We start from the raw sequence: 17,856 nt of genomic DNA, 5'->3' as shown, positions 1-17,856 counted from the left end.
GGAATCGCACATCTCCCTGACAGACTTGTCCTCCATATCAGATTCCACCGGCAGCCAACCCAGCCTTCCCCTGGTACTCAGTTTCCATAACCACAATTTTGTCCTGTTCCTAAGAGCCAGCCATTACCTTACCAGGTACCCCAAGAATCCTGCCTCTGAATTGCAGCCCAGCAGCTACAGCCCGGAAACCTGTTAAGAGCCTCCCAGGTGCAAACTGTCCAGCCTCCACCTTGGGTCGCTGAACACCACTGGCTCCTGGATGCCCAGCTGCTGGGTGTTCCCTGCCCCTAGGCAGGATATACCATTACTCTATTGGCTTTCCTTGTTTGACTGGTCAAATAAGGCACCCATCTCTTCCATAACACTTAACGCTTGATGATGTTTGTCAGTACCTGCAGCTGATCTGTCCTCTTGGCACCTGGCCATCTCAAAGCACAGGCCTACTCTTTCCCACATAGCTAAGTAGACCACACCATGCTGAATCTTGAGAGATGACAGCATGGGACTTAACAGCGTTGCCTGGAAGGGAGTGAAGCTTAAATATATTCTATTACCAGCCACCAGCACCAACATGATCACCATTTGCTGCCACAGAGACCGCCATTTATGGAGCATCTCCTGAGAATCAAATTCTTGATTAGGTACTTTCCATATATTATTTCTAATCTCCACATCACTCTTCAGGGTAGGTGTCACTCTCATTTTAGAGAGAAGAACTCTGGGGCTCAGAGAACTTAAGTGATTTTCACAAGGTCCAGGGCCAAAAGTGGAAAAAACAGATTGACCCCAAATGCTATGCTTTTCTTCACTATATCATATGTCCCAGCAGAGGGGAAATCAGAACTAAAGGGGACATCTCATATGGAGATAGGGGACTACTAGGGGGGTAGATTTTTGAAAGCTAGGACATTTCATTAGTGATAGCTTAATTTCAGCAAAAGGTAAAAGGAAAGGGATGAAATAACTATCTGGTCTGGGCCAAGTATAGTCCACCATTTTGTGCTAGAACATAGAAATGAAGACTCAGGCCAGATACCGGCCAAATCAATTGTTAAATAGGCCAAGCTTCAGCAAAGAGCAGAGCCAGCTGTCACCAATCATTCTTACATGTGCTTCAGATACACCAGAGGACAGGCAGAGAAGGGCAAAAGTCAGTCATATGCAGCCTGAGGCTGCATAGACACCTTTTGGGTTAAAAAGATGTCAAGGAGGACCATGAAGGTGACCCTTCATGATAGTCTGATGAAAATCTTAGAGGCAAGGAGGGAAAAAGTATCACTTAGGGGTCCTACAGCCACAGTGCTAATGTGCAGCTAGCTGTCTGAGGGATGACCCAGATCCACACATGGAAAGAGGGCTAGGAACTGGCTCTGGGATGGAAATGAGGCCTGATCCCCACCAGGCCTGATCCCAGAGACATCCGAGGTTCTTTTGAATCAAGAGACTCCACAGCAGGGTGGTTGACAGCCTGGACTCTGGAGCTAGACTACTAGGGCTTGAATATGAGCTCCACCATTCACTAGGTCTATCAACTTGAGCTACTCATTTAGTCTCTGTGCCTCAAATTCCCTATCTATAAATGAGAATTAGAAATATATATTAATAACTCATGGGATGTTGTGAGAAATAAATAAGTTAACATAAGAAAAATAATTCAAACAGTGTCCAGCACACAGAAAGTACTCAGTAGGTGTTATTATTGTTGTTGTTATTAAGGCCATTTCCTTCTCAAAAAGGGGAAGGAAAAAAATGGCAACCAGTGAACATACTATATTGAATCAAAAGCAGTCTGTGACTAGAAGAGTTGTCTTGGACTCAAAATCAGTATGCTGAATACAAAGTCAACATACAGTATACCACTTCTGTCTAATTTTTGTTTTGTTGTTGCCTTTCGGATCTCTTTGGAAAAGGCCAATCTTATCTGTAATAACAGCGAGTTTTTAAAAAGAAAAAAAAAGACTTCCTTCCATTTCAGCTAACGGAGTGAGAAGGTTAAAGCCTCCTCTGATAGTCAGGCTCAGTGTGATGATAATGATCCCAGCTGGATAAATCATGGAAAATTAGTGGGGCTGGGAAAATGGACACAGAAAGGACTGCCATTTCTTCTTGTCAAGAGTGGTTTCCTATAGCTTCATCTGAATTTTTTTTTAGCTTTCTTTAATTAAAGAAAATACAAAAGAGTCCAAAGAACTCACTCAAAATTTGACTCAAAAGATGCTTCCTCTAAAGTGCCAGACCCTGGGCTGGGGCTAATCAGGGTGACCCCCAGCACAGGGCAGTCTTGCTAATTCTATCAGGAGAGTACTCAGTTATGTTCCAGGTTATGTGGTTCTGGAGCCTGTGTTCTTATAAATATTCATCTGATCTACCTCTCTTATCATTCTTAGAGTTGAGAGGGACCTCAGAGATCATCTGGCCTGATATCCGCCCAACAAAGGCATTCGTTCCATAGCACTCATTCGTTTATCTTTCAAGTATCCATTGCATGTCAGGGTCACCACTGTGCTAGGCATTGGTTTAAAAAGACTGAGACAAAATTACTGCCCTGAGGAAGGTCACAGTCCAGCCAGATAGTGAGGATAGCAAAAAACTGATTATGGCACTGTGCTAACTACCATAATAGAGATATGACCAGAGTAACTAGGTGACTAGAAAAGGGGCATCCAATCCAAACCAAGGAGGCTACTGAGGGCTTCCTAGAGGAGGTATACTTGAGACAAGTGTTTGAAGGTGATAGGAGCTGGTCAGTTAAAGGAGTGAGAAGGATTAAGGAGACAGCATTGAGACTTGAGAGCATGGCATGCTCAGGAAAACTCCAGGACAACAGGAATACAAGATGGGATAGAGGGAACACAGGAGGGGTAAAAGGTAAAGCCAAACAAAGTAATGGGCAGGTCATAAAGGGTTTATATTATCAAGAGTTTGAACTTTATCCTGATGGGGAGCCATCTATAGGTTCCATAACCATTGGAGATCATGATGATGAGATTGCATTTGAGGGAAGCCACTGTTGTGGCAGCGTGAGGATAGATTTAAGACAATGACTGGAGTCAGGGAAAACAGAAGGATATTGCAGTATTCCAAGCAAGAGATAATGAGGCTCTGATCTAAGGCAGTGGCAATGGGGATGGAAGGAAAGAAACACACGAAAGAGGCAGAATCAATAAGACTTTGCAATATTGCAATAGACTCAATGATGAGGAAGAGCAAGAGAAGAATCAAGAATGACTCCCAAGTTTCTGGCTCAAGCAAGTGGGTGGTTGGTGGCCTTCACTGGTATAACGAATGCAGGAATAAGAGCACACCGGAAGGGGTGGGAGGTGATATAATAAACTTTGGACACACGGAGTTTAGGAACCCTCTGAAAATTGCAATAGAGGTGTCCACAGAGCCAATGGGTTTATAAATATCGAACCCAGGGGTGAAACCAGAGATGAGACATGGATTTGGAAGCCATGAGAGTAGGCGTGGCTGTTGAGACTGAGAGAGAGTCTAAATTGTTCAGGGAGTTTGTGTAAAGTGAGAAGAGAAGATCTGAGGAACAAATCCTGGGGAAAAGGGAAAAGAGTTTAATCAGGACCAGCCAGAAAGTCATAAGGAAACCAACAGAGCACGATGTCAAGGAAGGCTTGGAAAAAGAGGGCTTTAAAAGGCAGAAGTGGGTGACAGGATTAAATGCTTCAGAACAGTCAATTAAGACCTGTTAAGTGGCCAGGTGCGGTGGCGCACACCTGTAAATCCTAGCATTTTGGGAGGCCAAGGTGGGCAATCACCTGAGGTCAGGAGTTCAAGACCAGCCTGGCTAACATGGCAAAACTCTGCCTCTACTAAAAATACAAAAATTAGCTGAGTGTGGTGGCGGGCACCTGTAATCCCAGCTACTCAGGAGGTTGAGGCAGGAGAATCACTTGAACCCGGGAGGCAGAGGTTGCAGTGAGCCGAAATCGCGCCATTGCACTCCAGCCTGGGTGACAAGAGAGAAACTCTGTCTCAAAAAAAAAAAAAAAGAAAAAGAAAAAGAAAAAAAAAAGAGAACAATCTGTTCAGTGTCTTTTGGATTTAGCAATAAATAATACAGTTAGCAAATAAAAACCAGAGACTCCTGTTGGAGTCCCTGGTAAGATTAACCTCAGTGGGCCAGAGAGAACAAAAGCCAATGGCAGGGGTCGAGGGGAATGGAGGAGGTAAGGAAGTAGAGGCAGCAAATATAAACTCCTCTATCAAGAACTTGGACTACAAAGGGAAGGAGAAACAGAGGGGAAAGTAGAGTTCAGAGAAGCTGTTCTTGGTGGCTTGTATTTGTATTAATTTGTTTTTAAGATGGGAGAGGCTGGGCGCGGTGGCTCACGCCTGTAATCCCAGCACTTTGGGAGGCCAAGGCAGGTGGATCATTTGAGGTCAGGAGTTCGAGACCAGCCTGGCCAACATGGTGAAACCCCATCTCTACTGAAAATATAAAATTAGCAGGGTGTAGTGGCTCATGCTTTTGATCCCAGCTACTTGGAGGGCTGAGGCAGGAGAATCGCTTGAATCTGGGGGGCAGAGATTGCAGTGAGCCAAGGTTGTACCACCACACTCCAGCCTGGGTGACAGAGCGAGACTCTGTCTCAAAAAAAAAAAAAAAAAAAAAAAAGATGGGAGAGAGTTGAGGGTGTTTAATCCTAAGGAAAAAAGGTTGCCTGTATCGGAAAACCTCCAGTGGGACGAAGCACACTACATCACAAGGCACTTCACTCTGTTTTGGACAGCTCATAAAAATGCAACCCATGGTTAGAAGTTACACCTGAATTAAGCTAAAATTGGCTTCACTATACCTTTTATTCTTATTTCATCTATGGGAAGCCTTCAACTATCAAACTCATCACCCCTGCCTTCCATAAAACATTCTTTACTTAAAACAAAACATATCCAGTTACTTCAACTTCACAATCATGGTAGCCTTCCAACAATTGTGGTGTATTTTGTCAATATCTTTTTAAAAATATATTTTCCAGAATTAGGCGCAATTTTCCACATGTGATCTAAACAGTGACAGTATAATTATTATTTCTCTGGTTTAGATATTATATTTTAATTTATATTATCACTCAAAAGCCTTTAACATTCCTCTCTGCTCTAAGAATAAAGTCTATATCCTTGCATCTACAGGTCAAAGTTCTTGGGAGTTTATACACAAACTACACTTTTTGAACTTTTCTACAATGATTCACATTCTACCACATAGAACCCTTTGCTCTAACCTACTTAACTGATTTCATTTACAGTATCACAGATTTTTCCAGGAGATTCCAGGGAGCTTGAGGACTCCCACTATGACCATAGTTTTCCTTGACCAGAATTGAAATAATCTCAGAACAGCATTTTCCATATCTTCCATTTGATGGAGCAGACTATGGTCCTCTCCACTAACATGATGGCTCATTTCTGTGTTCCTCTTATCTTCATTTTGTTTCTGCATAAGGTTCTACCCTCAGGTTTGTAGATTTCATATAGATGTGAAGCATCCTGATACACTGTCACTCTTCCCATTAGAACAAGTCCTTTCAACAAAGAATCCTCTTCTATTGCCATTTTCTAGTTATGAGCTCAATATCCTGAGGTCTCAGGACTACCTATTATATTTATCTTCTTGTGTTAAAAGTTTAAGTGCACTACTTGTTACACATGCCTTTTGTTGGTTTATTTATAAAGAAGCCTAAAAATATTGTTTGCAACCTGTATTCTTGGTATTTTTTGAAACCTAAGGTTATCTAAGCACATTTTATTTATAACACTCTTTTTCTATGTCACCTATGTAAAGCCTGATATATCTGATTTTGGCTTCACTGGGTTAATTTTCTCCCTCAACTTTAAAATTCATTTAAATCTTTCTATATAGATCATCAAGGTTTCTGCCAATGTATATCCTTCCCAGTCCTTACAAGATGCACTCCATCCCTTGCCAGAAGCCCGTCATCCTGGCTCTGTAGAACACAGTCCAGAAAACTTTTTAAATACCATCTACATAGGCATGCATGTTTCTCAAAGCTTCCCTTCTTTGCTGTAGTTACTGCCATCACATGGAACGAGAGATAAAAACACCACCTGTGCTTTCAAATCTTTCAGTTTGTTACTCAGAACTTATGTCATTAGGAATAAAACCCCAATTTCTTCTGAATGTGCCATTTGTTCCCCAAAGGAAGCAGCAAATGTGGGTGACAGTTCATGGGGTTAATAAAAGGTTCATGGTAGGCTCTCTATAATATCTTGGATATTGGCTCCTGCCCTCTCCCAATTTTCTACATCATATCCACATAAAGTGACCTTCAAAACCCCTGACTGGAAGTTATCCACAAGATATAACATCTTTTTTCATCCTCAGTGTGATCACCAGATGGTCTCCCATCAGCTCATACCAGTAACTTCTCCCTAGTGCTCCAGGGAGGGAAAGTTCTGAATCCACCCCAACGGGAAACGTGTCATGCAAGATCCAAAGGGCAAGACTATCCTTTATTTCTCTGCTGCTTCACATTCCTCCACTTGCCCACTTCATGACATTAATTTTTCTGCATTTTCCTGGCTTTCTTCCTCACTATTTTTTTTTTCATTTGCCTAAGAATCTTTCATCCTTGTTAAGAAGCTAGAGTGTGAAAAAGCATCTATTTAAGCTCTCCCACCTTTTCCTTCTGCTTGCATTTGCAGCTGCTATAATTGGTCATCATCTCTGGCAAGAAGAGAAAGAAGGAACTTACTGTGAAGGTCACTGCATCACTGCATATTAACTGAATTGCCAGATGATGTAGCTTTCACTAGAAATGCCCCTTGAAAATCCTAAAGGAGCAAACATTATGCCTCTTTTCTTGTCACAGAATTTCTTAGAGGGTTAGAACATGTTTGATGCATTTTTTAAAATTAGATTTTGAGTTCCTCAAGACAGAAACTGTGGAACTCTAACTTTTCACAGTGCCCAACACAGAAACTTGATGGGAAATGAAAATTGATGAGGGCTATTGTCCAACTCTGAGGGCACAGACTTTCCATCTCTGTGGATTATCCTATTTTATTTTGCCCTTATTACTATGGTAGGTTTGCTGATTGTACTCAGAGTATCTTCGGTGGGCAAGGTCACTGATAAATCCACTAAAATGCCTTCCTTCTATTCTTACCTATTTTGAATGATTTTTTTTTATAGTTCCAGTTTTACTAAGTCAACAAAGTATCAAGATAGCACAATGCAGTTGCCTACAGAGTTCAGAACATTTGTCATCATTGATTCTTTCTCTTACCACTTGTTTGGATTATCCATTCATTCTGTTAATTCTTCTTTCATAATAGCTCTTATTTTTTATTGTTATACTTTCAGTTCTGGGGTACGTGTGCACAACGTGCAGGTTTGTTACATAGGTATACATGTGCCATGTTGGTTTGCTGCACCCACCAACCCGTCATTTATATTAGGTATTTCTCCTAATGCTATCCCTCCCTCAGCCCCCTACCCCACAACAGGCCCCAGTGTGTGATGTTCCCCTCCCTGTGTCCATGTGTTCTCATTGTTCAATTCCCACTTATGAGTGAGAACATGCGGTGTTTGGTTTTCTCTTCTTGTGTTACTTTGCTGAGAATGATGGTTTCCAGTTTCAGAATGATTTTTTTAAAGTGTGTTCAAGTTTGATAAAAAAAAAAACAAAACAAAAAAACCACAAGGGTTGGATAGAGAAACAAGTAACCAGAGATTACTGAATAAAGTACTTAATTGTGCCCATGTTTTTCTATTTCTTTAAGTCTTTCTTTAAATTGTCTGCTCTTTCAAAAATGTTACATTAATGCTACTTAATATGTCTAGCTGCTTAAATGTGATTTGGTGCTCTGAGGCTTTAGATAATATATATTTGAACATAAACGCTTGCTAATTTTTGACTAAATTAGCGTACAGAAAATCTGGCATTTCAGATAATGAGGCCATAAAGCAGAACACTAACAGAGTAGGCACAGCTGTTATGTAAACCACAGGCACTTGAATACTCGCCTACCTCATAATAGCAAATATCTCAGGACAATATAACAGTACTACATTCTATTCCACCACCTGGGCAGACATGGAAACATCTATCCCCTGACAGCCATCCTATTATGGGCAGGAACTCCATCTTACACTTGTTTATATTCTTGATGACACCTAATGTCTCTTAAAATATGTGTCTCTTAAAAACTACTCGGTGGCCTTAGCCATTTGGGGAGATTATAGGCAAACTGAGTCCATTAGTTGACTAAGGACCAGGAGAGGTTCCCGCCAGTGCCCGGGACTTCTATTTGAGCACGCACAACCTCAGCAGCTTAGACTAGAAAACTGTAGACACAGATTCCCTGGTGTATCCCTTCCTGGGCCTTCACTCTGAATGTTGGATTCCTCTCTAGGGAGGCTGTCATGACTGCAAAGCCTTTCCCCAGTCAGCTCAGCTTCTATGTCAGCCATTCAAAGAGTGCCATCTGCAGGATGAACTGAGGACTCAAATATTTAATTCATCTTCAAATGGCATTTGAAGAATTTGTTTAAAATTTGTTCAAGAGCTATTAAACACAAAAGTTAAAGTTTAATGAAGGATAATGGATTGCCACATAAATTCTTCAAAGATATCATTTACATCTATTTTAATAGCTGCCCTAAATGTCTTTACTACAAAGACTGACCACTGGTAAGAATCACAGATGCCTCCACTATCCCTAGGGTGGAAATGTATTTGTTCAGGGGCTTTACACTGCCTAACCCCTCCCCGTGGGTAGCCATTCCCTCTGTTGAGGGCTTGCTTTTCCTTGCAGAAGGACAAATTTCCAGGAGCTGTGACAGATGTAATAGCTGTCTTTCTGCTTTGATTCAAGACAATTTTTTGAACCTAAATACAGAGAATGGGTGCTCAGAATTCCTTTCTCATTATCAGCCTCAGGTAAAGGAATCCTAAATGATAAGGCTAAAAGAGGTCCCTTCACAGAATCATGATCCTTTAGAGTATTGCTTATAAGTTACCCCAGGCTCCTACCCCACAGCATATATAGCCTTCCTGAACACATCTCATAAACAGCAACCCAAACAAAGAACAAGAGTGTCCATGCTTTGGCTTTCTGTCATTGATCTTCTTACTCGAGAACTTTTCAGTTCCTGATTAAATCCACTCCTCTTCTCCCAGTGGCCATCATCTAATTGAGAGCAGAAACAAGAGAGAAAGAAGAACCCTTTCCTTCCTAGTTTACCCCTTTTTCACCACCTAAACATGGCAATCACGTTGTACAGAACAAAGCAGGTCTCAGACAGGCTGCTACTGACAGTCAACCTGCCTTCACTGTGGTCAGCATTGGTTTTCCTATGTGGACTAACAATCCCAGGATGCTGGGCCACTCAATCTCCCAGAGTGGTGATGAAGGAATAAGGCAGGATTAATTCCCCAACTACAAGATCCAGCTCTGGAGGCTAATTTCAGGGTAATGGGATGGCTCACAAACCCCAGGTAAAGTGCTCCCTTTGTAGCTCACATCTGCTTTTCTCCTTTTCAGAGCAAACATTCCTCCTAAAAGCATGAGCCTTTTGGAAGTTAGAACTCTGTCTTCTCTTTCAAAAAAAATACAGTCTTATCAGAAAGCAGAGTCAGGGAGATGTGGATTATGCCAGTGGATTACTCATTGGAAGGGCCAGAGGAAAGTTGTAATGGATGTCAATAAGGGTGGCAACATCCCCCACCCTCACTCCCTTTCTCTTTGTCCCACACTTCCCATAAGCAAATGGGCACCTAGAAATGAATTTTATGCCCACTTCCTATACCTCAATAAGGAGGGACAGCATGGAATTAGGATAAGAACATGACTGTGGAATCCAACAGACCTGGGTTTGAATCTCAGCAGAGCCCCTGACAAGCTGGATGACTTGGGCACATGGAAGAACTTTCTAAGCCTCAGTGTTGTCTTCTATAAAACAAGGCAAATACTACCTATCATTCAGGATTGGTATAAGACAAGATATATAATGGAAACATAAGCTCTCAAAAATGTGTCCATTCTTTCTTTAGCGTGAATTTAAATTCATGTGTCTTTGCCGCTGATGGAAAGGCATTGTCCCATGTGAAAGGAATATCAGGCATCAGTGAGAAGGTGGAGGAACAGTTGGGAAAAATGGGACTGGGATGGCCATGGGTCTTGAATGGTTGTAACAAAATGCAAAAACTGCGGCCTATAACCAAAACATGGGCCTATAACCAAGGTTGGCATTGCCTCTGAGGCTATATCAGGCAGAGGGCAAGGAAGATTGAGCTGGGTCAGGGCTATGGGTGGCTTTGGGGACGTCCTTTCTAAGTGAGGAATGCTGAGGCATAGGACAGCCCACAGGCAGAAGCCCCAAAGCTATGGGATGGCCCTATTCCAACAGACCACCCCACGTACTACAACCTCCACTCTCAGCAGTCAGGGGATACCTGTGGCCCTCTCCCATCCTTTGCCCCCTAACAGCCTAGAAAGGAATGACCCAGGACCAGATATTGTGGATCTGTGCTGCATCTTGTCCATCATAAGGTGCATTGGGACCTGTGTCTATTACATTGGCAAAGTCCACCTCATTCTGCAGAAGGTCCTCATTGGCTATGAGGCTTTCTTTTTTTTTTATTGTGGTAAAATATACACAATATAACACTTACAATTATAACCATTTTAAAGTGTATAATTTAGTGGTATTAAGTACATTCACAGTGTTGTGGTGCAAGCATCACCATCATCCATCTCTAGAACTCTTCATCTTGCAAAACTGAAACTCTGTTATCAATTAAACCAGGGGTGTCCAATCTTTTGGCTTCCCTGGGCCACATTGGAAGAAGTCTTGGGCCACACATAAAATATACTAATGATAGCTGATGAGCTAAAAAAAAATTGCAAAAAAAATCATAATGTTTTAAGAAAGTTTACCAATTTGTGTTGGGCCGTATTCAAAGCCATCATGGGCCACATACAGCCCGTGGGCAATGGGCTGGATAAGCTTGCATTAAACAATAGCTCCCCATTCCTCCCTTCCCCCAGCCTCTGACAACCACCATTCTACTTTCCATCTCCATGAATTTCACTACTCTAGGTATAAGTAGAATCATAAAATATTTGTCCTTTTTGTGACTGGCTTATTTCACTTAGTATAATGTCTTCAAGGTTCCTCCATGTTGTAGCGTATGTTAGAATTCCCTCCCTTTTTAAGGCTAAATAATATTCCATTATCTGAATAGAACACATTTTGTTTATCCATGCATCCGTCAATGGACATTGGAGTTGCTTCCACCTTTTGAATATTGTGAAAATGGGTGTATAAATATCTGTTTGACAGCTGGGCACGGTGGCTCACACCTGTAATCCCTGCACTTTGGGAGGCTGAGGTGGGTGGATCACTTGAGGTCAGGAGTTCGAGACCAGCCTGGCCAACGTGGTGAAACCCCATCTCTACTAAAAATACAAAAAATTAGCCGGGTGTGGTGGCAGGTGCCTGTAATCCCAGCTACTCAGTAGGCTAAGGCAGGAGAATCACCTGAACCCAGGAGGCAGAGGTTGCAGTGAGTCACGATCACATCACTGCACTCCAGCCTGGGCAACAGAGCGAGACTGTCTCAAAAAAAAATCTGTTTGAGTCCCTGCTTTCAATTATGTTAGGGAGACAGCCTGAAGTGGAATTGCTGGATCTATGGTACTTCTATTTTTAATTTTTGAGGACCCTCCACATTGTTTTCCACAGTGGCTGCACCATTTTACATTCTCATCAACAGTGCACAAGGGTTCTATATGAGGCTTTCTTTATCCCACAGGTTGGGTCCAATCCACCCATATTCCCTGGGCTCAGGTCGCCACTGACATGGTCTTTCTGCCTCCTATGAGGCCTCTCATTTTTCAGCATATGCTTGCAGCTCCCCTAGAGATGCAGTAATGCTCCATGACTTTCCTGTTCTTGCTTGGTTGTTGACATGCCATCTCTTTTTGCATCCATAGCACATAGTCTGTCTGGGGCTGGGAGCCTCCCTGGGTGAGGCCCAGGGCTCTGTACAATGCCCAAAGTAGGGCCCACATTGAGGGCTGTCTGCCTGGTGGGATCGAAGTCAGCTCTGGCTAAAGCAGTGATATGGCAAAACCTAGCTCTGTCATTCTCACTCCTTCAGCAGCACCCACCTCTCTGTCCCATATGGGCACCCTCCCTGCCTTACTCCTCATTATTTTGTTTTACATGGCAGCTAATCACGCCTGATAAAATAACTGGAGAGCAGTATTTCATCTCGAAAATGAAAATTTTCAGGACCCGTTTGGAAAACTCCCCAATGCAGAAATATAACAGAGTTAGGATAACATTTTTGAGGTGGAGGCTCTGAACAAAAACACTTTAAAACAATTATACTATTAGACAAATGGTCAGGGCCTGTCATACAACATCTTTGTATAAATTCAAAAACAGTGCCCTTTTTGGATCAGGTGTGCAGCTCAGCTAAAAGACTGAACATTATATAAATGGCAGTTTAAATATTGTACAAATCACACGAAGGCAGGTTCTCTGGGCACATTCAACCCTGTGAGCGCATGGCTGGTGAGCAGGTGCCACCTATTTCTCCAGGTCCTGGAAGGTATGTGGCTTTGTAAATAGAGCTGGGACTGATTTTTAGCTCTCACTCACTGGCAGTGACAATCATAAGCAGTAGCCCTGGGGTGATGAGGAATCTAATAATGTCATTCCCTCCTGCCAGCACCACCTCGTGGACAAGGCATTTTTAGATCACACCAGCAGGAAGATCTTTTTCAAAGACCATAAATGTGGGCATCTATTTTACCACTCACCTAGAATCCAAAAGAAGACAAAGGACTCCTTGCATCAGGCAGGAAGGCAGCCCAGCAGCCACAGGTTATCAACCCAGCATGCCTCACCAAACACCAAAGCCACAGCCCTGGTCTCCCTCATCTAGACACACACACACACACACACACACACACACACAGCTTCTCACCTGAGCCACCTCTTCAAAGTCATCATGCCTCCCTCATCTAGACACACACACACACACACACACACACACACACACACACACACACACAGCTTCTCACCTGAGCCACCTCTTCAAAGTCATCATGCCTCTTCTGCAGGGCCCGGGCTCGATGTAGGGACTTCCCAACTCCAGTGTGTTTGCTGAGAAAGGCCTCACCATGGTTTTCAATCCAGTCCAACACCTGGTCAAAGAAGGATAACAGCAACAATGACTTTCTAGCAGAAGGAAAGACATGTGACAACATGTGCAACTGCTAGAGTCCTAACCACCCCTATATCCCATCCCAGTTGTAAAGCAGCAGTTCAGGTGGAAATGGTCAATCTGCTGTGAGTCCATGGGATTTCATTACTGTCATTGGCAATATCATAGTCCCACCTTTACCTAAATTCAACTTATCCTTTTTGATCTCCATATTATCCTTCCATTACTTTTTCCATTTTCTTAGTTCATTATTTTAAACAAGTTACACAGACCATCAGGCACAGTTTAACCCCCTCACCACTTCTACCCAATCACATAAAGATATTGGCAGGAAATTAGGTAGTAGCAGTTTGGGCAGTATCTTGGCCCTCATTACTCATCCGTCACGCTGCCATAAGAACACAAACAGCAATGGTGACCAGTCATGGGGATCCTGCCTCATTGTGCTCCGGGGACTCCCCTTCCTAATCTTGAAAGCAAAGTCCAGGGTAGTCAGTCTCCAGTTGGATGCTCATGATATCTGACCACTAGGACAAGAGCCCCCTCTGGCTTCTTTCCATCTCCCTCCTCCAATCGATACCAACCAACCAACCAAACAAACAAATAAATTAAAGTGTTTGCATCCTAAGTCCTTTAATATCTGAGTCTCTTGGGAAGCAGTGGAGACTTCAGGTTCTTCCAGGCTAAAGATCTAGTGATTTGGCTTCAAGACAGTTTCCTTGATATTTAGAGACACTGGAACAGAGACCCCTGGGCAATAGAGGGGTGAGAGAGAGGGGATGCTAAGAAGGGTGGAAAATAAGTTTTCCTGAGGGGCACTTGAGAGGCAGGATGGAAATCCCTTAGTAAAAGCCTTGACGTGCAGGGAGGATGAAAGCCTTTAATACCCATTTTGCATTCTTGCAGATGGCCTAACAAAAATGTGTGTATCCCAGAGATCATCTTTTGATCTCTGAAGAGTTGGCGCTCAGTAAATCAGGTGACCACAATTAAATCAGAATTACAGTATAGACACACCTGTTATAGATCCTGCTAAAACTCAAGTGAGCCCACTCACTGCCTGCAATATTAACCATTAACTAAACATTTAATTAATGATGTACTAGCCTTTCCAGATTTTGGAAGCACTTACTGGAAAATGGTTTAGATGAACTAGGTCTATTTAAAAGGATGGTTTAACTCATTCCTGTGTCTCAAACGGATTGCCCTGCAGCAAACAGAGGTAAAACCAAATCATTCCATTGACTACAGGTATGGGAGTTCTCTGACATTTGGGATATTTAATATCTGCAGTGTGCAAGGTATGAACATTTTCAAAGTCTTTGGTGACAGGATCACAAAGCCCACATCGTGATTGTGCTAGTTCAGAGAAAGGTATATATGAATATAAAAATGAGGCTTAACAAATATCCACTTAATGAAGACAGGCGGAGTAATTGTCCATCATCATGAAGAAAAAAAGTTTTTTATAAATAAAAAATGAATTCATCTAAACATTATGGAGATTTTAAACACTTTATAATATATTCTGGCAATATACATATTTTAAGTATTCTGGAGGCACAACCCTAAAAAGAAATTGTGGTAGTGCTGGATTTTTACCTTTTGCAAACACTGAAAGGCAGCACTGAAAGGAACTTTACATGTTCATCTCTTAGAAGAGCCTGCGTTTCTCTAGAATTACTTACGGTGAAACTTCAACCAAAAAAAATCAGGAGAGTATATTTTTACTTGGCTTGCCACAATTAGATCTCACAATTCTGTACTGTAAAGGAGTTATGAGCTTCAGCATGCAAGGTCAAAGGTAAATACTTGTAGTCACAAAGTTTCCCATATATTAGGTGCGAAGTATAGTAAAGTTTTAGGATTTTAATGCATAAACTTTCATCAATCCCTTTTGAAAACAAATTGAGGTTTGATGATAATTTTTTGCATATAAAAGAACTACCAGTGGTCGTTTATGAATGTGTTGGAATTTATAACAGATTTTTCAGACTACAATTTTTTAAATTTAGTTTTGAGCACTTAAGTATGGCCTGCTTGTCTGGCAATGTTTTCATGAGTTTTGTTTTATCTCATTTTTTATCTCTAGCTTTAAGAAAATTGGTTATTCTGAAGCAAATTGGTTGAAGAGGAATATTTTTCATCTACTAGTTCACCCACATACAGTGTTTGCACTCCCCAGAAACGATTTCACAACTTCTAAATATTTTTTAAACGCAATTTGTTTCCTTTTTAAGTTACTTTGCTTTCTTTAAAATGTCAATTTATTTTTAGTGACACTTAGTTTTACTTAATTGGCTATGCCTTCATCACTTAAAAACCTATTTCTTTCATATTTGAGAAGCTTTTACTTCACTTTAACATAACTTTGATTGCTCTGTGATGCTCTGGTGCCATCATTTAGTCCAATTTCTACCATTAAAATTGAAGCTGTAGGGAAAATATGTGCAATTTCGACGAAAGTTCAGGAGCTATGCAGAAATCAATTTAACAAATCAAAAAGCAAATAATTTAGGGAGTTAACAAAATTACTTTAGTAATCCAGACTGAAAAAGTATTTGAGGCTAGATAAACATAGTTAATATATGAAGTATTGTTAAAGATTCTAATTTCTGACTATTTTGTTTCAGACAGTTCATTTAGAGCCATCATTGCATGATACACGTGTTTAGACCACATACTGTCTGGACCCTGATTCCATGTCGTCCAACCTCGGGAGTACAATCTGACTTTCCATGCAGATCCTGCGCAGCAGAGAAACATGTTCCTGAGCAGACATCAGCAGTGCCTGACAATTACATTACACGCTATAAATTTATGTGTGGCTTGAGATTCTGGATATTTGTCAGTTTCTAGTGCATTCCATTAAGATGAACAAGGTCCCAGAATCTGAACATCAATGGTTAAAGAATAAATTGACTTTCTAGTCAAATCCTGGACCCTACCTAAGTACAAGCACCCATCAAGGTACTCCTTATAATCTTATTCCTGAATAATTTCTCTTCATCTACAAGGCATATTTAAAATACTCAATTACCAATCATAGTCAGGATATACAGCATGATAGTCATTCATACCTATCGATGGCTCTGAATTGGTATTTGAGCATTTCCAGTTTTGGAGGTTTTATCTTTTTGTTTTTGTCAGGCAGCAGAGAAGCATGTGTGGGTATATAAGTATTCACATATTCGGACATTTATTTAATAGTCTTATTGTGCCACAGTGTCAGGCACTAGAGCAGCTCTGGAGGTGGGGGTGTAGCAGTAAACAAGGCAGGCATGGCCTGATGCTGAGAACTCAGTCTATAGGGGTAACAAGCACTAGACACTAAATCACACAATTCATCATTCATTGCAAAGGTGAAAAGTGTCAACAGCCAAACGCATCTTCTCTGGGGAGTCACGGAAGGTTTCTCAGGAGAAGTGAGGTTTAGCTGAGATCTGAGAGAGAGTAGGATTTAACCAAATTAGGAATTGAAAAGACCAGCATGGCTTGCATAGGGGATAAGTAGGAAATGGACCCTGAAAAGGCAGGAACAAGATTGTGGTGAGCCCTGGTGTGCTGAACGGGAGAATCCATTGTTCATCCTAAGAGCCACTGAAGGGCTGCAAGGAGGATAAAGACACTTTTCATTTTCAGTTATAAATTATTGCTCTGACTGACTAGGTGCAGTGGCTCATGCCTGTAATCCTGTCCCTTTGGGAGGCAGAGGCAGGTGGATTGCTTGAACCTAGGAATTTGAGACAAGCCTCTGTAACATGGCAAAACTCTGTCTCTACAAAAAATACAAAAAAAATTGCCAGGCGTGGTGGTGCACACCTGTAGTCCCAGCTACCCAAGAGGCTGAGGAGGGAGGATCCCCTGAGCCTAGGAGTTCCAGGCTGAAGTGATCTGTGATATCACCATTCCAGCCTGGACAATAGAGTGAGATCTTGTCTCAAATATATGTGTATATATATTGCTCTGACTGCTTTGTGGAGGATAAACTGGAGAAGGCAAGAGTAGAGAAGGGAAAACAGGAGGCAGAAATTCTGACAAGAGGTGATGGTGACCCAGGCGAGGCCAATGGCAGTGTCTATAGATAGACAGGCTGGGGGAAAGAATTGCCAGGACTTGGTAATTGGCTATGGGGGAGATGGAGAGGCAGGTGGTAAGCCTGGCCCCCAGGGGCATGTCTTGAATAACTGAGTGGAAGGTAGAACTAGTCACTGGTACAGGAGTGAATGAGTTATAAGGGGTAGCACAGACATAACATATTTTTTTTCCTTAAGATTTTTTTCCCTTTCCATGCTCATACTCTTGTTCTGAGAATGACTATGGAAAGGTATACTCAGGGGCATAAGTGACAGTGATTTGTGCCCCTGAACTGGAATGGGAAATAGTACTCAATAATGGTTGTCAGTCAGATTCTGGGAAAGATGTGCCTTTAGTTTCAAAGAAGTAATTTATACACTAAGGCTTAAAAATAAATTATAAATTGTTAATCTAGCTGAATCCCAATAATAAAACGGAATACCAAATCCATTTTAAAAATATAACTTCAACCTAAGTGCCCATCAATGGATGACTGGATAAAGAAAATGTGGTATATATCAACAATGGAATACTATTCAGCCATAAAAAAGAATGAAAT

General features: G+C 41.7%; 1 protein-coding gene across 33 annotated transcripts in view; it reads right to left on the bottom strand.

Moving 5' to 3' along the window:
- The window catches only part of KALRN (kalirin RhoGEF kinase), a 692,957-nt gene that overhangs the window by 365,983 nt on the left and 309,118 nt on the right, over positions 1-17,856 (bottom strand). For 32 of the 33 annotated variants that reach the window (XM_006713810.4, XM_017007429.2, XM_011513279.3 and 29 more), the window contains exon 10: positions 13,078-13,200. In XM_006713810.4, the coding sequence (XP_006713873.1) occupies positions 13,078-13,200 (123 nt within the window). Of the gene's footprint in view, positions 1-12,980; positions 13,024-13,077; positions 13,201-17,856 lie in introns of those variants that run through there. The other variant, XM_047449164.1, reaches the window with a different exon arrangement.

Source organism: Homo sapiens, chromosome 3 (genome assembly GCF_000001405.40).
Source record: "Homo sapiens chromosome 3, GRCh38.p14 Primary Assembly".
Classification (NCBI taxonomy): Eukaryota; Metazoa; Chordata; class Mammalia; order Primates; family Hominidae; genus Homo; species Homo sapiens.
The sequence above is the reverse complement of the archived record's forward strand: the minus strand, read 5'-3'. Positions and strand labels throughout refer to the sequence as shown.